The sequence below is a fragment of the Homo sapiens genome, chromosome 6 (assembly GCF_000001405.40).
Source record: "Homo sapiens chromosome 6, GRCh38.p14 Primary Assembly".
In the NCBI taxonomy this organism is placed as follows: Eukaryota; Metazoa; Chordata; class Mammalia; order Primates; family Hominidae; genus Homo; species Homo sapiens.
Window position 1 is genome coordinate 13,695,900 of NC_000006.12, and position 23,090 is coordinate 13,718,989.

Sequence of the window (23,090 nt, forward strand, 5' to 3'; positions counted from 1 at the left end):
GATTTGAGGTCCATCTGACTGACCTCACAGGGCAACTTATCCACACAGCTCAATAAGCTTTGTCTTGGTAACTCAACTAAAGACCCTATGACTGCTTTAAGAGACCTCTGATATGCAATAAAGTTATCAGGAAATACTATAGGATAGATCCAATGATTCTAGGTAATTAGTGCTTAACCAGGGATAGGCACCAAAATTCAGTGTGGAGCTTTCTCAAAATGCCTATCTTGCCCAAAGCTCTACTTCTGAAAATCCTAATTTAGGAACTTTTGGGGTAAGGCCCAAAAATTACTATATTTTTAATAGTCTCATAAGTGAATTCTGATACCCATACAAACCACACACCAATCCCAAGCTGAAAAGCAATGATATAAAATTTGGTTCCAGGCCCTACCATGGAATTCTCATTTGGAAATTTCTAAACCACATCCTAAACCTTGAAAATCTCCTCTAGTTGAGAGCATACAAATACACATTTCCCAGCTGAAACCTAAAATTCTAAGTCCAACATCTGTAAAATACCTATGAATCACCAACTGACTATGATTACTAGTTTGAGAGGATTTAACTTCTTAGCAGAATTCACGAAAAAGCAGTGTAAGAAAAGTCATGGAAAATGAGTCACCATCCCTTCATTCCTTAATTCCAAATTCTCCATTTTAATAATAAACCTACCAGAAAAGCTTAGTTAATATCACCAACTCAAGCTTTAACTTCAGCTAGTATTTAAGCATAACCAGATCCAATCTGTTATACTGAAATATTCAGATTCCACTTTTCCAATTAGCAAAATTTCCAGGATTCCAACTTTCCAATTACATCATAAACATTATGAACCAAAACAAAAAAACTAGCAAACGATTTTTCTCACCAAAATTTACTTACCCATCTCTTCCCTTACTGACAATTTTTACTTCAAAATAATAAATCCCACAGGCTGCTGGTATTGGATGCGTGGCTCGAACTGACGCGGCATCTTTTGGGGTTTTGCCATGACCTGCATAGAAACAGGAAGGAAAAAAGAAGTCACATGAGATATTCACTGAAAGATGAAAACCTTAAACAATTCAGGAACATATAGGTTTTTGGAATGATGTATTATTTCTGCTCCTATCAGTTCAAATACTCAATAAAACGTTTATCATCACCATGAACCCAATATGCAAAATAGCCCAAGTTAACCACAGAACTCTTCACACTATTACTAGTTTTATTAAGATTGCAGAATCCAAATATGGAAATTGAACCTAGCAGCCTTTTATGCAAATTAAATAAAAGACATTATAGAGTACACTATATTTTTAAGAGGAAAAAGGCTGTATGAAGAACATGAGAGAAAGATCTCAATTTTATCAGGTCTAAATTTGCATATAACTTATATAATTTCTGTACACTCTTGCCAAAGTCCTGGCTCTTTAAACCAGAAGCATCTGTATTGTATATTTCTAAGTGAAATCTTACACAATTAGATTGAATTGGCAAAACAGCTTTCTTAAGAATTTACAGTTTTGTTCTTTGGTATAGTCTTATTAATTAAAGCTGATTCATAAAATCTCTTGGGCCAATAATAGCTTATTGAGAAATACATCTAATTTCTAAACGTATTTTTTTCTTTTTAAACAACAGAAGTAACACCATGCCACTGCTGACACTTTAGAAAATCTTTTAGATAATGGCTTTCAAACTTTTTAAACCAGCTATTCCTCAATTCTAATCCCACAGGGTTTGCTAAACTCACAATCACTTCCCCTACCTCTCGCCCAAGACACAAATTACCTTGAAAGCTAGCATGTAGACAATATTAAGAGAAAATATGTCCACAAAACCATGGAAGAATAAAGAAAGAAGTTGAAGTAGCATGTCAGAAAGTACTCATAGAGTATGAGTGAGACAAGTCTCCATATCCCCAAAAGGACTGCATGAGAAACAATACTCTAAATCATTATTGGGGTGTTCTAGTTAAATATGCTCCACGCAATACAAACTTCGCATTAATCTTTCAGTCATACTATAAAATTATCTTCATGGGTAGCAGAATTCTCCTTAAATTTATGATTGTTTTAAAACTAAATACCTTCTTGTAAGTCAAAAATTGTATCTTAAGATATACAATCATCACACATGAATGAGATCATATCCTCCCTTACCACACACTTGACCAAATTTATCAAATTTCCAACACATGCCTTATTACTATTAAACACTTAAGTTTACACTTGCAATGCAAATTAGTACATGTTCACACCCCCCACTCCCCCCACAAAAAAATGGAATGAATTCTGCCACTCCTTCCATTACCATGAAAACTTGGGTTATGGGCAGAAGTTCTTTTAGCCTGGTGACCATAAGGAGTCAACAAGCTTGGCTAGGCAAGACAAAAATGGAAGCAACAGTATTTACATGCATCAAAACTACTTCAACATATGATGCAGGTAATAGATTTACACTGAGCTAAGCAGCAGAAAAGAAACAATTGCACAAGTCTGTGCACTAGTCACTTTTTAATAAAATTTAATTATGGTGGCAGTAAAACACATTTTTCAGTCAAAATATGTTCAAATAATTAAGTTACCTGAGAAAAGGCCATGGAAACTACATATTTAAAAATTAGATTGTTACAAATAAATCTATAGAAAACTATCTAAACAAAATCTAACTGCAGTTCTAAATCCACTGATTTTTTAAGGGGAGTGACCCAAACTTTTAGTGATAAAGTAATCCCAAAGTATTCTTAATAACAAATAATAGTTACATATATTTAATACCGTGTGAAAGGCACTGCTCTAAGAGCATTAAGTTTATTAACTCATTTAATATCCAAAACAACCCCATGAGGTAGGTACTATCTATTATCATTTCACAGTTGAGGAATCCAAGGGAAGATAATGAAACTCGCCCAAAGTCATACTGCTAAAAGCGAATTCCAAACCAGGATTTGTGCTGGGATTTAAATTCAAGAAACCTGATCTAGTGTGAGCTCTGAACCCACATGAAGGATTTAGTTACAATGAACATTCGGGGATCACTTCACATATCCCCATGTCCTATTCTGACTACTTCTACGGGAAAAGAGAAAGAAACCAATATTTGAAAGTAAACAGTCTCTCAAAGAGTTGGGTGCTTTTGTATGGATTTTTCTCTTTCAACATTTACGAAATAGGTATTATTTAACCTCACTTTTTGAAATGAAGAAATCTGTAATCTGTCATGGGCCTACAGAAAAAAAAATAAAATGTTTACACATTATATACCCAGCCCCAAATTGGTAGAAACATATATTAGATCCATGCATGAATTAAAATCCCATACATTTTTCCATTATGCAAAAATTACTATAAAGTACCAGTTATAAATCTTCAAGGATCCATTATATTTGTTAGGATTCACTAATTGCAGATAAATTCTGTAAATATTAAAACTAAAAAGATTTGTTTCATGTTTAAATTAAAATTTAAATTAGATGTAAAAGGTATAAGGAAAAGTTTAAATGCAAGATTATAAGGTTTCATATTATTTCTTAAATGAGACCAGTCCAAGTTGAGTATCCCTTATCTGACATGCTTGGGACCAGAAGTGTTTTAGATTTTTTTCAGATTTTACAATATTTGTGCATACTTACCAGTTGAGCATCCTAAATCCAAAAATCCAAAATCTAAAATGTTTCATTGGGCATTTCCTTTGAGCCGGGCGTGGTGGCTCATGCCTGTAATTCCAGCACTTTGGGAGGCTGAGGCGGGCGATCACTTGAGGTCAGGAGTTCAAGACCAGCTTGGCCAACATGGTGAAACCCTGTCTGTACTAAAAATACAAAAATTAGCCTGGCATGGTAGTGTGCGCCTGTAATCCCAGCTACTCAGGAGGCTGAGGCACAAGAATCGCTTGAACTTGGGAGGCAGAAGTTGCAAGGGCCTGACAGCGCCACTACACTCCAGCCTGAGCAATAGAGTGAGACTCTGTCCCAAAAATAAAAAAATAAAAAATCAAGTTTTGAATTCTGAAAGCATTTTGAATTTCAGATTTGGGATGCTCAAACTTGTAATATCAGCAGCAAAGGGCCTATTTCTAACAATGCTCATCACCTGAAAGTTTATTATTACCTCAAATTCTGTGGTAACCAAAAAACAACCTCATACTACCAAAGTTTAAACTTTTAAAACTACAAAGTCTTCAGTATTAAGTGTTTTCTATGTGGCTTTAGAAGAAAACATATGTAATACTTCCTAATTCTAAGGCTAGCAAGTTTAGCTCTTTTTATTCAAACAATCTGATGGAAAGAGTTTGAATAAACCATTCTACCCTATTCCCACTCCCTTCCAGTCGCCAACATGCAGCCAGCCAGTGCCTTTCTGGAAATATAAATCAGCCGTCCTTCTATCAGTAGCCCTCAATACAACTAAGATTCCTTCCAAAGCCTCCTCTTTGGCCTAGGAAAAAGACACGCTTCCTGAGCACCTTGTCTGGTCTTGCTCTCCACCTGCACTTTCCACCTCCTTTCTGCTCCAGCCGCATCAGCACTATTTCAATTCTTCACATTGATCAGGCCAGTCTGTAAACATGCTATTCCCTCCACCTTTCCTTCTTAGCCTGAGTAGGTAGGTCCTACTCACACTTTAAATCTTAGCTCAAGCTTTACTTCCTCAAATATTCTTTCTCTAATCTCTCCAACTTGGTTGAAGCTCCTTTTTACAAGCCCTCATAGCAACATGTATCTCTCCTGCACATTTACACACTTAACACTCACGTTTAATTATTTTTTCCCTGCGTTTTAATTCCTGAACCTCTTTATTCCCGCTAACTTCCACTCTAACTTCAATCATTCCTTCTTGAAGAAGCAAAAGCTCAAGACCCAGAGTCTAAAGCTGCAACAGACCAAGCCACCTGTAATATCGGGCACAGTGAAAATTTAACTGGGCTTTTATTTTACTAGGACTGTAATTTTTGTAGTGTTCTGATTAATGCCTACAAAGTTCCCAAGGTTTTAAGGGGTTGCTCCAGCTTTATAGTTTGCATAAGTCCTGTTACTTTTAGCGCATTGATTTTGTGGAAAACATGGTTTTCCAGCCACGCATTCAGGACATTATTGCAGAAACACCGGTATCTTCCTCCAGAACACACCATCCTGTTCTATCCCCTTTCTAAAGCCTTCACGTCTATACTTCAACATCATGGGAACTCTAATTCCTCAAACTCTTTGTGTTTTTTCTCCCTTTTTCCTCTTCCAGGACAGGCTACATGGTAATCACTTAAAGCTCTCAAATATCCTTGATTTCCCTCATATGCCCATCATTCTATCATATCCAACCAGCAAAATGACACTCTCAGTATCATAATCTACCTTCCATACTCCCACACTGGACAGTTGACTTCCAATGAATAAAGTCCAAAATCTTATGAACAGCCACTGCTATGAACTAATGATGTCAACTGAGCACTCTCAATGCTACCAACAATATTTTTAGAAATGTTGTCAGCTTATTCCCTATCCCTCTCAATGGCTTAGTCCACATTTTCATCATTTACTTTAAACTTTACATCCTCTACTCAAATTCATGAGCAAAGTACCTCACCTCTTATCAAGAAAACAGGAGGCCAGCTGGGTGCGGTGGCTCACACCTGTAATCCCAGCACTTTGGGAGGCCAAGGCAGGCGGATTGCCTGAGGTCTGGAGTTCGAGACCAGCCTGGCCAACATAAAACCCCATCTCCACTAAAAATACAAAAAGTGGCCAGGCATGGTGGTGCGCAACTGTATTCCCAGCTACTTGGGAGGCTGAGGCGGAAGAATGGCTTGAACCCTGGAGGCAGAGATTGCAGTGACCCGACGTTGTACCACTGCACTCCAGCCTGGGCGACAAGAGCAAGGCTCCATCTCAAAAAAAAAAAACCAAAAAAACAAAAAACGAGAGGCCATTAGCTATGGTCATATTCAACTCTCCACTCTTTTATTACAAAGTGATCTATGTCCACGGCAGTCTTCACCTCTTCCACTATTATCAAAGAACAGTCTGTACTCTCCTCTCCAAGACCAACCATTCTGGACTCTGGAACCAGTTTCCTCTCTAGAAGCCTCTCTGTCAGCCTCTCAAGCTTGTATTTCATTATCTTCCTCTCTAATCTCTCCTTCCCCTCAATCTGTAAAGGGACAATGTCCCCAAAATGTACACTTTTCACAAATTCTATGCCTCCGTGCTACATATAAATCATTGTCAGTAATGTACCAGAGTTGGTGGTATATAATTTTTTACCTTAAAAGTAATAACAAGGCTGGGCGCAGTGGCTCATGCCTGTAATCCCAGCACTTTGGGAGGCCAAGGTGGGTGGATCACTTGAGGTCAGGAGTTCGAGACCAGCCTGGCCAACATGGTGAAATCCCATCTCTACTAAAAACATAAAACTTAGCCAGGCATGGTGGCGGGTGTGTGTAATCTCAGCTATTCGGGAGGCTGAGGGAGGAGAATTGCTTAAACCTGGGATCCGGCCTGACAAAGCGAGACTCTGTTCAAGAAAAAATAGTAATAATAACCAGGTAGGCTAATCAATTTTATTTGTTAAAATGTTAAATTTTGTATACATTTCCTGGAACACCATACCTTGGACTAATATAATATAGTATTTTCATTTAATTTATGTCGCTTCAGTTTTACCTATACAACCAAATTAAAACAAGATTGACTAAGAAATGACACAGTGGTCTCTAACACAATACTTTCCAAAGGAATTTTTAAGGATAATTTTGGTTATGTAGGATTTTCATCTTCTATGCTGACATTAGAAGCTAAACACCAGGTAAAACGTAACTCCACTATCAGCCGTTAAAAATTAGAAGAAAAAAAAAATCCTACCTTAACCTCCATCCTCCTCTAGGAAATGCCTCATCTCTTCCTTCATCTATATTTCTCAAGGATAATCTCTATTCACTATCCTCTCTACTTGGTCCTTTCATTTACTCTTTCAACCCACTGAAATCTGGTTTTTGCCCCATCACTCAATTCAAACTGCTCTCCCTAAAGTCACAATGATCTAATTTCCAAACGTAGTGGAAAACTATCTGTGCCTATCCTACTAAACCTATCTGTTGCAACAGACACTAAATATCACTTCCTCATTTCTAGGGAAGGTGGGGAGGCTGTTTGAGACAGTGTCTCATTCTGTTGCCCAGGCTAAAATGCAGTGGCATGATCACCGCTGGCTACAGCCTCAACTTCCTGGGTTCAAGCAGTCCTCCCACCTCGACTTCCCCAAGTTTTGGGATTACAGGTGTGAGCCACTGCACCCTCCCGTGCTCAGCTTCTGTGACACCAATCTCCTTGATGTCTGGGGACCTACCATTTCTTTTGTGCTCCCTCTAGTCTTTCAATGTTGGTGTTCTTCAGGGTCCCCATCTTTGGCCCACTGCTTTTTCTCACTCTATTCTCCCTCTCTCTTTCAAATACTCTGAGTTTCAACTACCACCTACAAGTGACTCCTAAATCAGTCACGACCTAGACCTCTCTCCCAAGCTTCAGATCAATTATGGTTAACTGCCAACCCTTCCTAGGAGAAACTGCCTCACACATTGCCCCTACCGAAAGAAGTGAGACCCAGACTATCCTTGTACCAGCAGGGTATTTTGTATTTTATAATTACCACCATTCCTACAGCTGATTCAACACAGGTTAGCACCTGACTTGAAGGCCACCAATTCACAACATAGTCTGTATTGAAAAGCTCTGCCCAACTAAGAATCATAGCAATTAGCCAGGCCAATCTGTTAAGTCTCTCAGGAATTTGACATAGGAAGGAAAGGATAAGCCAGTCAGTAGGGAAAAAGAAATAAAACAACCAGAAACTAGTGATTGGAGCTGAGTCATTTTAATAGAATAGAATTAAGTCATGACTATTAAGACCAGTTAGAGTCCCCTTAACTCCAAAAGACCTGTTCCTGTTCTTTCTGTAAGGCTTGTTTCTTTGGCTTCTTCTGGTTTCCATGAAGTCAGATCACAGGGCTGAGATTCCCATTTTTACTTATCTCCAACTATACTGTAATACAGTCTCCTTCACAATCATTATTTTATTCATGGTTCACTGCAAGAGCCTAACAGCTAAAGACCCAAACATCATCCTAACAGAGTTGGAAACCCAAACATTTTCTTTGATTTCTCTCACTATCATTCCTCATATCCTCTCAGTATTACTTTTAAATATCTCACAAATATATCTGCCTTTCTCTGGCCTTACCACTGACCCAGCTGAGGTCAATTCTAACATGGTCTACTGCAATAGTCTTCTAAATGAATTTACTATTCCCACTCTTGTAACCTCTTGAATCTATCTTCCAATCAGCTGCGTAATCTGACAAAAATGAAGATATGAGCCAGTCACTTCCCATTTAAAATCCTTTGATGATTCTCCATCTCCTACAGAATAAGATCTAAACTCAACAAAATATTCCATAGGGCTCCTAACTGGGCCAGGTACAGTGGCTCCTGCCTGTAATCCTAGCACTTTGGGAGGCTAAGGCAGGCAGATGGCTTGAGCTCAGGAATTCGAGACCAGCCTGGGCAACATGGCAAAACCCCCTTCTCTACAAAAAAATACAAAAAATTAGCTGGGAATGGTGGCACGTGCCTGTAGTTGCAGCTATTCAGGATGCTGAGGTGGGAGGATCACTTGAGCCCAGGAGGCAGAGGTTGCAGTGAGCCTAGATCGCACCACTGCATTCTAGCCTGGACAATGGAGTCAGACCCTGCCTCAAAAGAGAAAAAAAAAAAAGCCTCCTAATTGATCTTTTCCCAGATGCTCCTTGTCACATACTCTAAATGCCAACCCAAAATTGCTTGTAAAACCAGACACATAAAGTAATTCTCTATGTTTTTGCTTTTCCTTCATTTGCAACACCTAGCCCCTCCCTTTCTCCTATATCCTACTCATCTTTTAAGACTGACCACTAGCCTCGACTCCTCCAAGAAGCTATCCCTGATACCTACACTTCCTTCATTCTTTCCAATGTCAGCCTGGGTTATACGCTCCTCCTATTTTCCACAGTACTCTCTATAATATTTCCCTTACTACTCTATTTTATGTCCTCTGAGCTCTCTGAATTCAATGACAGTATCTTCTCCACCTCTGAGTGTCCAGAACCTAGCACAAAGTAAACATTCACTAAAAGCTCATTAAATAAATGAAGAAATGAACAGTGAAAAACACATATAAATTGTCTAGTCTAGCAGAATATATATCATTAGGCTGGGTGCAGTGGTTCACGCCTATAATCCCAGCACTTTGAGAAGCCAAGGCAGGCGGATCACTTGAGGTCAGGAGTTCCAGACCAGCCTGGCCAACATGGCAAAACCCCATCGCTACTAAATATACAAAAATTAGCCAGGCGTGGTGGCAGGCGCTTGTAATCCCGGCTACTTGGGAGGCTGAGGCTGGAAAGTCACTTGAATCCAGGAGATGGAGGTTGCAGTGAGCTGACAAAGTGCCACCACTGCACTTCGGCCTGGGCGACAGAGCAAGATTCTGTCTCAAAAAAAAAAAAAAAAAAAAAAAAAAAAAGAATATACATTATTATTGTCTACTGTTCTGCATGATTATTAGATTTACTTGATTCTTGCAGTTACCAACTGGCATTTTTAAACCTAATTTCCCAAAATCTTGGCAAGTAATTCTTCAATTCCTTCATTTTAAGGAACATTTTTAGGCCGGGCGCGGTGGCTCACGCCTGTAATCCCAGCACTTTGGGAGGACGAGGCGCGCAGATCACAAGGTCAGGAGATCAAGACCATCCTGACTAACTCGGTGAAACCCCCTCTCTATTAAAAATACAAAAGAAATTAGCCAGGCGTGGTGGCAGGCGCATGTAGTCCCAGCTACTGGGGAGGCTGAAGCAGGAGAATGGTCTGAACCCAGGAGGCGGAGCTTGCAGTGAGCGGAGATCGCGCCACTGCCCTGCAGCCTGGGCCTGGGCGACAGAGCAAGACTCCGTCTCAAAAAAAAAAAAAAAAAAGAAACATTTTTATATCACCCCCGTAATGCTTAACAGACATTTGCACTTGTAAGCAAGCATGCTGAAATATCTGTTCAAACTTAAAAAGTGCAAGAAATTAGATAAGCAATTATATTTAGGAAGTGTTCAAGCGCTAATGACTGGGGGTACAGGTGGGAAAGACAGAGTAAGTATAACAAAAGTTCAACCTATCACTCCTGTAATCCCAGCACTTTGGGAGGCCGAGGCGAGTGGATCACTAGGTCAGCAGATAAGAGACCACCTTGGCTAACACGGTGAAACCCTATCTCTACTAAAAATACAAAAAATTAGCCGGGCGTCGCGGCGGGCACCTGTAGTCCCAGCTACTTGGAAGGCTGAGGCAGGAAAATGGCGTGAACGCGGGAGGCGGAGCTTGCAGTGAGCCGAGATGGCGCCACTGCACTCCAGCCTGGGCAACAGAGCAAGACTCGGTCTCAAAAAACAACAAAAAAGTTCAACCTATTTGGTTATTGTTCATAACATTTCAATTAAAAAGTGAAATTCTGGCTGGGCACTGTGGCTCACGCCTGTAATCCCAGCACTTTGGGAGGGCGAGGCGGGCAGATCACGAGGTCAAGAGATCGAGACCATCCTGGCCAACATGTTGAAACCTCCCCTCTACTAAAAATACAAAAATTAGCCAGGCGTGGTGGCGCATGCCTGTATTCTCAGCTATTCAGGAGGCTGAGGCAGAAGAATTGCTTGAACCCGGGAGGCGGAGGTTGCAGTGAGCCAAGATGGCGCCACTGTACTCCAGCCTGACAACAGCAGAGCGAGACTCCATCTTAAAAAAAAAAAAAAAGGACAATTCAGGCCAGGCGCAGTGGCTCATGCCTGTAATCCCGGCATTTTGGGAGGCCGAGGCGGGCAGATCATCTGAGGTCAGGAGTTCAAGACCAGCCTGGCCAACATGGTGAAACCCCGTCTCTACTAGAAATACAAGAATTAGCCGGACGTGGTGCTAAGCGCCTGTAATCCCAGCTACTCAGCTACTCAGGAGGCTGAGGCAGAAGAACTGCATGAACCCAGGAGAGGCTGCAATGAGTAGAGATTGTACCACCGCACTCCAGCCTGGACGATAGAGCAAGACTCTGTCTCAAAAAAAAAAAAAAAAAATGCAATTCACTATTTATTTACTTATTTTTTTTTTAAGATAGGGTCTCACTCTGTCACCCAGGCCATCATAGCTCACTGAAGCCTCAACCTCCTGGGCTCAACCAATCCTCCTCCCTCAGCCTCCTAAGTGGCTGGGATTTCAAGTGTGTGCCACTTAGCCCGGTTAATTTTTAGGGGTAGAGACGGGGTCCCACTATGTTGCCCAGGCTGGTCTAGAACTCTTGGGCTCAAGCGATCCTTCTACTTTGGCCTCCCAAAGTGCTGGGATTACAGGCGTAAGCCACCACACCCACTGAAATTGACTATTTCATTGCTTCCTATAATTCCCAACTTTGACTTACCTTGGATTTCTTCTAAACTGTTCTAAATTAGTAAAATCAAGGTGTCTGGACTTTTCTGAAGCACTGTGTTCCAGTTACCTTTTTCCCCCAGAGTAAGTATTTTCAATCTCAACTATTCTTTAAAAGTTCTAAATGTGATCACAGGATTTTATCTACTTGAGATAATTAAGTCTCATATGAACTTAAAGAGGCAATACTATGGGATTGTGAAAAGAACACTAAATCTGGAGTTAGTGAAAATTTTCAATCCTGATTTACTCATGACTGGGAAGATCTAACCTCCAGGTTCTACCACTCTCTAAAATTTAAAATGAAAATTCCAGGATCTTGTCCAGATCCACTAGTGTGTGTATATATAAAGCACTCTATAAAATATCCAAATAGTGGTAATAACTAGAAAAATATAAAAATGCAATCTGTTGTTGAAACATTTAAACTAAGTCCATTGTCATATTTATTAAAATTATTTTCCCGTTATCATTATAACTAAGTCTAAACTTGTCACATTTGTACTTATTCAATACTGACAACAATTTCAAAAATAAGAGGGGCTATCCCTGGGTTTTTCAATAGTTGTTGTGTGACTGCTAAGCAAAAGGCCTTTAAAAAAATTTCACATATACTATACATACCCTGTTGTTCCTCTGCAATCCAATCAACCTTATCTGCATGTCTAGTATTATCTAACATTAATCTCTTCAAATCATTTCAGGAACAATACTGCTTCCAAAAGCAGTAATTTCAATTTAGAAGAACATCTTAAAAACAGAATACAGGCTGGACACAGTGGCTCAGGCTTGTAATTCCAGTACTTTGGGATGCCAAGGTGGGAGGATCACTGGAGCCCAAACATTCAACACTAGCCTAGGCAACACAGTAAGACCCCATCTCCACAAAAAAAAAAATTACAACTTAGCCCAGCATAGTGACAGGAGCCTGTGGTCCCAGCTACTTGGGAGATGGAGGCAGGGGGATCCCTTGAGCCTAGGAGGTCTAGACTGCAGTGAGCCATGATCGCACCACTGCACTCCATCAAGGCAACAAAGTTGAAATCCTATCACACACACATACACAAAAACACCAGAACAACAACAAAAAACCAGAATACCTTTGGAGCAAAAGAAAGCAAAATACTTCTATTTCAAAGATAAGGAAAATTCTCGTCACTCTGGAAAATAATTAAAATCATTCTTTTGAAATTCTGTAATACGTGAATATATGAATAGTAGTTTTTACTGTTAAAAGTGTCTCATGATACTTAGGTAAAACCAATGCAGCACAATGATAGGTTAAATAAAAATTCACTCTTCTTATTCTGTGATTTTAAAGTATTATCTACTCTCTATGATACTTCTCCTTTGCTACTGCTACTGCTACTGGGACACAGTTGCCCACCACAATCGGCGTGGTCCTCTCACAAAACACGCAGAAAATCAACAGTAACAACGGAAAACTCACACACACACACACACACACACACACAGTCTACAGTAACAAGACAAGAGGAAGAGGCAGTAGAAAGGGAAAAAGACTTTCTGACAAGGGGTAAGAGAGAGACAAAGGAAAGATAGAAGAGAGGAAAAATAAAAGGATAACAACAAAATCTGTTCTTCCAGAAATAATGATTTATGTTTATAAAACAGTTATGTTCCCAGAAAGTGAACCTTAGTATTACACAACAGAAAGTAATAAAGAGGCCAAGAATAAAAACAACTGAGACAGCAGTGTCAGAAATATTCCAAACTCCAACTAATTTCATATAAACGTGTATTTTTCTCTGACCTAATCATCAATTTTATGTAAAAGACTAAAACTAATCAAGACACCTTACAGTACTAAATAAACAGTAATCACGAATCTTAGACATCACGGAAATTCAGAGCTGGAAATTTCCTTACCAATCGTCCAGCTCAACTTACACACCACTCAGAGGAAGAAACTGAGGCTCAGTCTTGTAAAATATCTACAACCACAAACAACTGCAGAACTCAGGAAATCTAGAATTCTTTGTTCATCTACACTGGCTCTGACTTTATGAGCAAATTATTTACTGTCAACCATAAATTTAAAATTATAAAATTCTGTCACATCTAACAATAGCTTTCTGGCAGCCAGATCAGAAGTAAACACCTCATAACATAGCACCGTTCACACAAATTAAAACATAAAAGTAGAAATACTTCACAAGGAAATTAACAAAAGGTCCTAACTTGAGAAAAAACAAAGATTTGATATTGTGAATGAAACGTTCAGACGTTTAGATTAAGGAGGATAACACTTGGAAGTACTTCTTTGGATGTATGGCGAGAATAAAAAGAATGTTCAACAAGGCCTATTTTTGTGCGTGATTCTTTGCAGCCAAATCATTTGGTAGATTTCTATTGCCATTCGCCTTTCTGATTAAATAGTAACTTACTTATCAAGCTTCTTCTCAAATTTCAGTCCCGTATAAGTTAAGAATTTAACCACAAGGTTGTTTATCTCCTCTACATACATGTCACTAGGATCTGAGTAGACCCCTTTACAGCCAATCAAAGTGAGGCTGCCGTGAATGTAAAAGCTTCTGCTTTAGGTTTGGGGCCTAAAACCCTGGATTTGTTTCCAGACAAGACTGATACGTTAGGTTGATTTTTTTTTCTTCCACACAAGTAAACTTGATACATGCTATTAAATTGGGCTACATTTCAATAGTTCCCATAGCAATTCATAATTTTATATACAACTGATTTGCTTCCAGCTTTGTTTTAACCTAGGAGAGGTAGGTGAGGGAGGAAAGGGGCAAGCACAAGCCTAAGGTTGTTGTTTTTAACTGCAAGTGCAAAACATAAGCCAATTTTCTTCAAAATACTAAGCTGCATTTTGTTCCATCTTCGTTTTCAACAAGACTTCATGTGATATCAACACCTAAGGACCTGTATAGGGCACTTCCAATCGGGAGGGGTAGGTTTCTGCTCCCCTAAGAAAAAGGGTGTTCCTGGGGTTCCCTTCTCTTACCCTCCCGGTTGCTTTTACTAAAATATATTGATGGCAAACTTGGGCCCCTTGTCCTTTTGTCCCCCTAGACAATCTCTGGCCTAATTTTGATTACTCCTCCCCCTGTGTATCCCTGCTCTCTCTTAATTAGAAATCATACCTCAGAATCGTGCCTCTCTTCCCCCCTTGTAAGAGGAGAACGCCTGACCCACCACCTGGAGAACAATGTAACCCAACTCCGAGTCCATGGATTCCTCTACCCAAGCCCCAAGATTTATCTCCCAGGGAAATCAGAAAGCCAGTTCTGTCCTGTCATCCCGGATTCCCTCAAGGTGTCCTGCTCCTGGTCTAGGATTACCAGCTCCTTTCTACCCTGGGGCATTCTACTCACCTTCCTTTTCCAAGAATCTCGCCCCTCACCCTCGGACCCTTCACCGCGACCCCCGCGCCCACCCGGAGCAGCACAACAGGCGGCGAGTGGCCTCCGAGGGCAGAGCCCGCGAGGGCGGGGGTCGGGGGCGGGTCGAGAGCGGCGCAGCGGCGGCCGGCCACGTCGGGTCAGTGCCCCACTCCCACCGCAGGACACACGCCCAGTACCTTTGTAGTGCACCCGCAGGTTGTTCTGAGAGAGGCCGATGTAGCTGAACTTGTCCTTCGGGCTCCAGGACCGAGGCAGCGGCGTCTCTTGTTCGTCCACGGCCGGGTAGAGACGCTTCAGCCGCCGCTGCAACTCCTTCTCCTGCTCGTTCAGGGCCGAGTCCCCGTGAGGGAAGGGGGCCGCGGCGCTGCTGCCCGCCACCAGAGCTGGGGTCGGGGCTCCTCCAGCCGGGCCGGGGCCCGCTGCAAGGCCCGGGGGAGCGGGCGGCCCGCTGGCGGGGGCAGCCGCTGAGGCAGGGGGAGGCGGGGGCGGCGGCGGGGGCGGCGGGGCCGCGGTGGCCGGGGGCGGCGGCGGCGGAGGGTGGAGGAGCAGGGCGGCCGCCGCGGCCCCTAAGCCTTCGCCGCCCGCACCGCCGCCGGGCGAGCCGGCCGGAGAAGAGCCGGCGCTGACGGCCGGGGGCGCCGGCAGGACGACTCCGGAGACTGGGGCCAAGGCCGCCGGCGGTGGCGGCGACAGCTGCTGCTGCTGTTGCTGCTGCTGCGGCGGCGGCGGCGGCGGCTGCCCGGACATCCCGGCCGCGACTCAGCCTGCGGCCACCTCCACCTCTTCTCTCCTTCCTCCTCTGCTTCCCGGGGGCGCTGTCGCTGCGGCCGCCGGCACCAGGCGCCCAGTCCGCCCGCCCCGGAAGCAGGCGGCGGGCCGCGCGCCCAGGGAGACCGCGGCGGTTGAGGAGCTCGGAGACGCGGGAGTAGGCGGCGGGCCCGGGAGGCCGGGAGAGAACGTTGGCCGGAGCGCGGGCGCGCGGCCCGGGGACGAGGCGCCGAGGGCGGGGGCGACGCGGGAGCGCGGGAGGGGAAGGCGCGCTGGCGGCCGCCGCGGCCGCTGCTCTCGCGGCTGTTTCCCGGCGGGCGGGCCGGGCCGGCGCGAGACGCTGCGCGCGGGCGGCGCTAGGCGAGGGGGCGGGACGGAGGCGCGAGAGAGGCGCGAGCGGTGCGAGGGGGCGGGCCGCGGGGCTCCCGGCTGTGCGCCGCGAGGCGTCCTCCCGGGCCCGCCAGTCGCTCGTGGGCAGGATCGCTGGGCTCCCGGCGCCGCAGGTCCCTTCGGAGGTGTCCGCCTCCTCTCCCTTGGCGGCCGCCGTCGCCCCCCTCGCCGGCGAATCCCCTCCCACTTGACTTCTTTTTGTTGTCGTCGCCCCACCTCCCCACCGTAGGGCTCCTCGGAGCCGAGGCGCCGCTTCTCGTCCAGGCGAGAGTAATCGAGCCCCGCTGGGGCCGCCGCGAGCCCAGGCCCCGGGGCGCTCTAGGACCCGTCGGCCCGGGGCGTGCGGAGCGGCTCAGGCTCCCCGCGCAGTGCTGCTAGCTCTCGCCTCAGTCCCGTTCCCGTTTGCCGCCTCCCTCCAAAGAGGAACGCATTGCCTTTGGTACTTCAGTGTTTAATTCCGTAGCATTGACCATATGGGCAGTAGAAACCACTTCTGAAGGCAGTCTCCCACTTAGAATAGTGACTGTTTCATTAATTAATTTTACGAGGACTCACAGTGAACTTAACAGTGGTAGAAGATGTCATTAATAAAGACCGGCATATCTTCAAAAAGCAGGAGCAGGCACTGTATGAATACAAGATTATAGTGTGTGTTTAGGAAGGGCTTCTAGAGACGTCAGAACATTTTATAGACTCGTTAATTTTCATAACAGGGTTCTTAGGTAACAGAAAATTATGCCCATTTTTAAAACAAGGAAATATTTACCGAGATCAGCAGAGTCAAAAATAGGACTTCCTACTTTGCAATTCCCAATAGAATGCTTCGTCGACTAATTTGGCACAACTTGCCAAGTGTTGCTCTCTGACCCATCATAACATTACTACTTTGTTTTCACCACTTCCCTTTGTTTAGCTTATCCCTCCCTAGCTGGCAAAATCAGGCTTTGCATATGTAAATTGTGTGATGTAAATTCTGATATTTTGTTTGCTTCCAAAGATATGATGGTAATCATTTGGTCAAATAAGAAATGTTTTGCCGAAGAGAAAATTATTTCGTTTTGAAGAAGGTAGGCCAAAGGTGATTTAATTTAAGGCCAAGATTATCTGGCCAGAACAAATAACAGAGTCATTCGGCCTAATTTCTCCCTCAGTTACCCAGACAACTAGATGTTCTGTTGTACTTTTATTATTATTATTATTATTGTTTTGTCGCCCAGGCTGGAGTGCAGTTGTGTGGTCTCAGCTCACTACAACTTCCGCCTCCCGGGTTCAAGCGATTCTCCTGCCTCAGCCTCCCAAGTAGCTGGGACTACAGGCATGTGCTCACACCCAGCTAATTTTTGTACTTGTAGTGGAGACGGGGTTTCACCATGTTGGCCAGGCTGGTCTCGAACTCCCGACCTCAAGTGATCTACCCGCCTCAGCCTCCCAAAGTGCTGGGATTACAGGCGTGAGCCACCATGCCTGGCCTCTGTTGTAGTTTGATAGAAATATCCATTAATTTTAACCTGTTGTTTGATGACTTTTTTTAAACCACTGCACTTTGAATCACATGATGTCACTGTATTTACAGTGTTCTAACACTTTCATTTATATTACAGTAACAATGAGTTCAATGTAAGCCAAGCTCTATTTAAATGTACGATAGCCATGTTAGAATAAATGGGCTCCAGACGTCATTAAACTTTCTTGAAACACTTTTGAAGATGTACTTTTTTTCTGTCAGCACACTTAGGAACTATCTAGAACTTTCCGTATCTTAGGAACAGCTGAAGGAATAGAATTGTCTAACATTTTGTTGGAAGCATTTTATAAGGGGGACTGGTGGTTCTCCATCAAGAAATTAATGATTTCAGTTGTGGGGGAGGATGCTGTGAAATGAGTACTTTCTCATATAGAAGGAGATAGAGAACATTGATAACGTCCTTTTGGAAAGCTACATACTTGGTTATATTTATAAGGAGACATAAAGGAGTTCATACCTTTTGACTTATCTATCAAAAAGCCAAACAACACAATCTAAATATGAAAATACTTTAGGCTGAAAAATGTTCCACAAGAAGTATTAATGGTAGATTAAATATAGAAGCAAATCAAATGCCCAACCGGAAGAGACTAGAAGAAATTCTAGTCACATGTGAAATTCTAATCACATACCCCACTCAGTGGAGTTATGCTACAGGAGCACATATAGCACATTCGTGCCATTTTTTTTTAAGGTATCCCTTCTGGGCAGTGGAAGTGCCAAAAGAGGTCAACCAATTAGAAAAAGGCACCCCTTCCTCTTGACTTAGTGGATCCTGGGCCCACCTTCAGACCCACTCTCTCCAGGCTTCTTGCACAGGCACAGCCTGAAACAAATATTTTATGGCCTCTTAAAAATATGTTATTGAAGACATAGAAAAATGATTATGATATGCTAAATGAAAAGAGGCAATACGATAATTATAGCACTGCCAAAATCATTACCAAAAAGACATGAAGGAAAAATTGTAAAATGTTTCCATAATGGACAATTATAATGCATTATTAAAAGTAATGTACTTTTATTATGAAAATAATAGAATTGTACATAGATATGTAAATAGTAAAAATCCATTAGCCATGAACATATCCACACCCTTCTTGAACCTATGTTTTCAGTCTTTACCATGTATTGCTCTAATATTACCCAGTATCTGTATCTGCTGGGTTTCTCAGTATCGAACAATAGGAACCAATTCTGGCTCTCTTAAGCAAAAAAGGAACTTACTGGAAAGATATTAGATGGTTCTCAGAATTGACCAGAAGGCTGGACAAGCAGGCCTGAAAACTGACAATGGCCAAAGGAGGAGAGGCTGCATAAATAGACTGGCCTGGACCCCAGCACTGATCACAGAAATCACTGCCAGATGTCACCTTCAACACCTGGACTCTTATCTCTCTGACCTCCAGCCTTTACACCACTCACTCAAGTTTCAAAGTCACCAAGCCTAGATTGTGTGCCCATGCCAGAATACACCAGCAAGCAGAGATTCCCAGGTTATCCAGTGACTGGGTTACAGAGATGCTACGTTATTGATAACTTCAGCTCAGGGTGGGCCTTGAGTGGTTACAGCCACCAGAACTGGTCCCTTCCAACAGTGAGCAGTCTTGTGCATTCAGAGTACCATACACATCTTATTTTCTGTGCATGGCATAACATGAAAATGTTTAGGACACATTGCCCTAGTGGAAAAGGGCCACTGGTGCCCACAGTAGAGGATTTTCCATACTAGGAAAGATACTAGGAAAGAGGTAAGATGCTGACCAGCCTGTTTCAGTCAATGCCCATGACAGTATCCTTCTGAGTACTGGAAAATGTTATGGCAATGTGTGCCAAGATCTATAGTATGGTTTTAGGGTCTGGATTAGTTATCTATGGCTGCAGAATAAATAATCCTCAAATTTAGTGGCTTAAAATAACGTTTATTATCACACATTTTCTGTGGGTCAGGAATCTGGCACAACTTCACTGGATCCTCTGCTTCAGGGTCTCTCATGAGCATTAAAGGTGTCAGTTGGGGTTGCAGTCATCTCAAGACTTGACTGGGGAAGAATCCACTTTCACACTCACTGATGTGGTTATCACACTCATTGATGCAGTTCCTTGAGGGCTGCTGGACTAAGGGATTCAGTTTCTTGTTGGCTATTGGCCAGAAGTGGCCCATGATGCCTTGCCACATGGGCACCTTCAACATGGCAGCTTGCTTCATGAAAGCATGCAAGCCAAGGCAATCGTGGCAAGACAAAAGTTACAGTGTTTTGTAACCCAACCACGGAAGTGACATCCCATCACTTTTGCCATATGTTTGTTAGAAGTGAGTCATCAGTTTCATCCCATATTCAAGGGGAGGGGATTACACAAGGCTATGAACACAAGAAGGTGAGGATCATTGAAGGCCGTCTTTGGAAACTGACTCATACAGGGTCCTTGTAACTTCCAGTGACCCTGGGGAACTGCACTTGCCACATTCACATCAAATATGGATTCTAGACCAGGGATCAGCAAACTTTTTCTGTAACAGGTTAGATAGTGAATATTTTAGGCTCTGCGGAACATAGTTACCTGTCGCAACTACTCAATTTTGCCATTGTAAATGAAAGTAACCATAGATGATACATAAACAAACGGGCATGGCTGTGATCCCGCAAAACTTTATTTACAAACATAGGGAGCAGCCTGGATTTGCCCTACAGGCTTCAGTTTGTGATTCCTGTTCCAGACTATTACATCAACGTTCCTTATAAACCATTCTCAACACTAAAAATGAAAGCCAAGTCACTAGCAATGAAATCCTAGGAGTCAACAAATTCATTTTATTACCCACAATGCGTGCTGCACTCCAGTGTCCGAGGCAGCCTGATGCCACACGAATGGAGTAAGCATATTTCTGCACGTAGTGTGGCAAATTCAAATGGATGACAAATGGCTGAACAATGTTAGTAAACTATAGCAATAAAGGGTCCAAGTTTGGGAAAGTTCTCAGTCAGCATTTATGAAGCACCTGTTATGTTGGAACCCTGGGTCCTGTCTTCTCTAGGCAGGGAATGAAGAAAAGAGGCAAGACAGATTACAAAGAAAAACAGCAGTATGGAATCTACTTCTTCGGTGAACAGTCTAGTTGGAAAGTGATACGGTTTTGAGAGATGACAGCATGTTGGGAGCCCTCGCTCACTCTGGGTGCCTCCTCGGCCTCGGCACCCACACTGGCCGCGCTTGAGGAGCCCTTCAGCCCGCCGCTGCACTGTAGGAGCCCCTCTCTGGACTGGCCGAGACTGGAGCCGGCTCCCTCTGCTTGTGGGGAGGCGTGAAGGAAGAGCTGCGGGCGGAAACCGGGGCTGTGCGCGGCGCTCGCGGGCCAGGGCAAGTTCCGGGTGGGCAGGGGCTCAGCAGGCCCCGCACTCGGAGCGGCCGCCTGGCACCGCCGGCCTCAGGCAGTGACGGGCTTAGCACACGTGCCAGCAGCTGCAGAGGGTGCGCCGGGTCCCCCAGCAGTGCCGGCCTGCCGGCGCTGCGCTGGGATTCTCACCGGGCCTCAGCTGCCTCTCCGCGGGGCAGGGCTCTGGACCTGCCAGCCCGCCATGCCCGAGCCTCCCCACCGCCATGGGCTCCTGCACTGCCCGAAGCCTCTCCGACAAGCGCCGCCCCTTGCTCCGTGGCACCCCGTCCCGACTGCTCAAGGGCTGAGGAGTACGGGTGCCCGATGCGGGACTGACGGGCAGCTTCGCCTTTGGCGTGGGTGCGGGATCCACCAGGTGAAGCCAGCGGAGTCTCTGAGTCTAGCTGGGATTTGAAGAACTTTTATGTCTAGCTGGAGGATTGTATACACACCAATCAGCACCGTGTCTAGCTCAAGGTTTGTAAATGCACCAATCAGTGCTGTGTCTAGTTAATCTGGTGGGGACTTGGAGAACCTTTACGTCTGGCTAAAGGATTGTAAATACACCAGTCAGCACTCCGTGTCTAGCTAAAGGTTTGTAAACACACCAATGAGCACCCTGTGTCTAGCTCAAGGTTTGTAAATGCACCAATCAGTGCTCTGTGTCTAGCTAATCTAGTGGGGACTTGGAGAACTTTTGTGTCTGGCTCAGGGATTGTAAACGCACCAATTAGCACCCTGTCAAAAGGGACCAATCAGCTCTCTGTAAAACGGACCAATCAGCAGGATGTGGGTGGGGCCAGATAAGGGAATAAAAGCAGGCTGCCCGAGCCAGTTGTAGTACCACGCTGGGGTACCCTTACGCTTTATGGAGTGTTTGTTATTTTGCTGTTTGTCATAAATCTAGTTGCTGCTTACTCTTTGGGCTTGTACTGCGTTTATGAACTGTAACACTGACTGTAAAGGTCTGCACTTTCATTCTTGAGGCTGGGGTGGTCAGTAACTGACTGCAAAAAATAAACTATTCTGGAGGAGAAGAAGGAATAATTCAATGCGCCACCTCTAAAAGCTATAACGCTTGTCACGAAAGTCTGCAGCTTCACTCCTGAAGCCAGTGAGACCACAAACCCACCAGTAAAGGAGAGACTGCATATGTCTGACCATCAGAAGCAAGAAACTCCAGACACACACCACCTTTAAAAACTTAACAGTCACCAGGAGGGTCTGTGGTTTTTCTTGAAGTCAGTGGGAACAAGAACCCACCAGTTTTGGACAGTTTGGTGGTGTCCCCACCCAAATCTCATCTTGAATTACAGTTGTGATGATCCCCATGTGTCGTGGGAGAGACCTAGTGGGAGGTAATTGAGTCATGGGGTTACCTACCTTCATGCTGTTCTCATGATAGTGAGGTCTCACCAGATCTGGTGGTTTTACAACGGTCTTTATCTGCCTGTTTTTTTCTGCACTTTTCTTTGCTGCTGTCTTGTGAGGAAGGATGTGCTTGTGTCCGTTTCCACCGTGGTTGTAAGTTTCCTGAGGCCGCCTCAGCCATGCTGAACTGTGAGTCAAACCTCTTTTGTTTATGAATTACCCAGTCTCAGAAATGTCTTTATTAGCAATGTGAGACTGGACTAATGCAGAGTGGTGAGATGATTAACAGTTGTCGCCTCCGTATCCATCCATAGGGCATTGGTTTCAAGAACTGTGGAAAACAAAATCCACAGAGGCCCAAGTCTCTTATATAACATGATGTTATATAAAAATTTGGATAATAAAATGAATTTGCCTGTAACTTACATCGTCTCCTGTATACTGAAATCACTTCTAAATTACTTCAATATTAAACATAATGTGATCCTGTGTAGTTGTGATACTGTATTGTTTAGGGAATCATGGCAAGGACAAAAAGTCTGTTCGGGACAGACAGAACAATCATAGGTCTAACTACATCTTTGGTCTTCGGTTGAATCCAAGGTTGCAAACCTTCAGACACGGAAGGGCTGACTGCACACATGAATTAGAGAGCAGTGATTTTCAGACTTGAATGTGGAGATTTGCCAAATGGGACCTGACAGTCTACATTTCTAACAAGCTTCCAGGGGCTGCTGCCACTCCTGATCCATGGATTAGCCCCTGAATAGCAAGGACTGGGAGAACAAGTCTTGCTCTGTC

General features: G+C 43.8%; 1 protein-coding gene and 1 long non-coding RNA gene across 4 annotated transcripts in view, besides 7 other annotated features; both read right to left on the reverse strand.

The window, feature by feature from the left end:
• The window catches only part of RANBP9 (RAN binding protein 9), a 90,338-nt gene extending 74,402 nt beyond the window's left edge, over positions 1-15,936 (reverse strand). For 2 of the 3 annotated variants that reach the window (XM_011514205.3, NM_005493.3), the window contains exons 1-2: positions 15,036-15,936; positions 886-997 (exon numbers count right to left, since the gene is read on the reverse strand). In XM_011514205.3, the coding sequence (XP_011512507.1) occupies positions 886-997; positions 15,036-15,606 (683 nt within the window). In that variant the 5' untranslated portion in view covers positions 15,607-15,936. Of the gene's footprint in view, positions 1-885; positions 998-3,619; positions 3,638-15,035 lie in introns of those variants that run through there. The other variant, XM_047418032.1, reaches the window with a different exon arrangement.
• Positions 6,918-7,212: an enhancer, noted in NCBI's record as "tiled region #12249; K562 Activating DNase matched - State 5:Enh". NCBI's record gives its function as "activates a minimal TATA promoter and a strong SV40 promoter by Sharpr-MPRA in K562 cells {active_cell/tissue: K562}" and the evidence as "EXISTENCE:reporter gene assay evidence [ECO:0000049][PMID:27701403]".
• Positions 6,918-7,212: a silencer, noted in NCBI's record as "tiled region #12249; HepG2 Repressive non-DNase unmatched - State 17:Gen3'". NCBI's record gives its function as "weakly represses a minimal TATA promoter and a strong SV40 promoter by Sharpr-MPRA in HepG2 cells {active_cell/tissue: HepG2}" and the evidence as "EXISTENCE:reporter gene assay evidence [ECO:0000049][PMID:27701403]".
• Positions 14,881-15,000: a silencer, noted in NCBI's record as "silent region_16934". NCBI's record gives its function as "represses an Ori minimal core promoter by ATAC-STARR-seq in GM12878 lymphoblastoid cells {active_cell/tissue: GM12878}" and the evidence as "EXISTENCE:reporter gene assay evidence [ECO:0000049][PMID:35858748]".
• Positions 15,261-15,310: a silencer, noted in NCBI's record as "silent region_16935". NCBI's record gives its function as "represses an Ori minimal core promoter by ATAC-STARR-seq in GM12878 lymphoblastoid cells {active_cell/tissue: GM12878}" and the evidence as "EXISTENCE:reporter gene assay evidence [ECO:0000049][PMID:35858748]".
• Positions 15,391-15,510: a silencer, noted in NCBI's record as "silent region_16936". NCBI's record gives its function as "represses an Ori minimal core promoter by ATAC-STARR-seq in GM12878 lymphoblastoid cells {active_cell/tissue: GM12878}" and the evidence as "EXISTENCE:reporter gene assay evidence [ECO:0000049][PMID:35858748]".
• Positions 15,671-16,440: a silencer, noted in NCBI's record as "silent region_16937". NCBI's record gives its function as "represses an Ori minimal core promoter by ATAC-STARR-seq in GM12878 lymphoblastoid cells {active_cell/tissue: GM12878}" and the evidence as "EXISTENCE:reporter gene assay evidence [ECO:0000049][PMID:35858748]".
• On the reverse strand, positions 16,453-16,855 carry LOC124901264 (uncharacterized). Its single transcript, XR_007059462.1, has 2 exons — positions 16,784-16,855; positions 16,453-16,642 (listed from the first exon to the last, which is right to left on the reverse strand). It is a non-coding gene; the product is annotated as an uncharacterized LOC124901264 (long non-coding RNA).
• Positions 19,698-19,992: an enhancer, noted in NCBI's record as "tiled region #2979; HepG2 Activating DNase matched - State 8:EnhW, and K562 Activating DNase unmatched - State 8:EnhW". NCBI's record gives its function as "activates a minimal TATA promoter and a strong SV40 promoter by Sharpr-MPRA in HepG2 and K562 cells {active_cell/tissue: HepG2 | K562}" and the evidence as "EXISTENCE:reporter gene assay evidence [ECO:0000049][PMID:27701403]".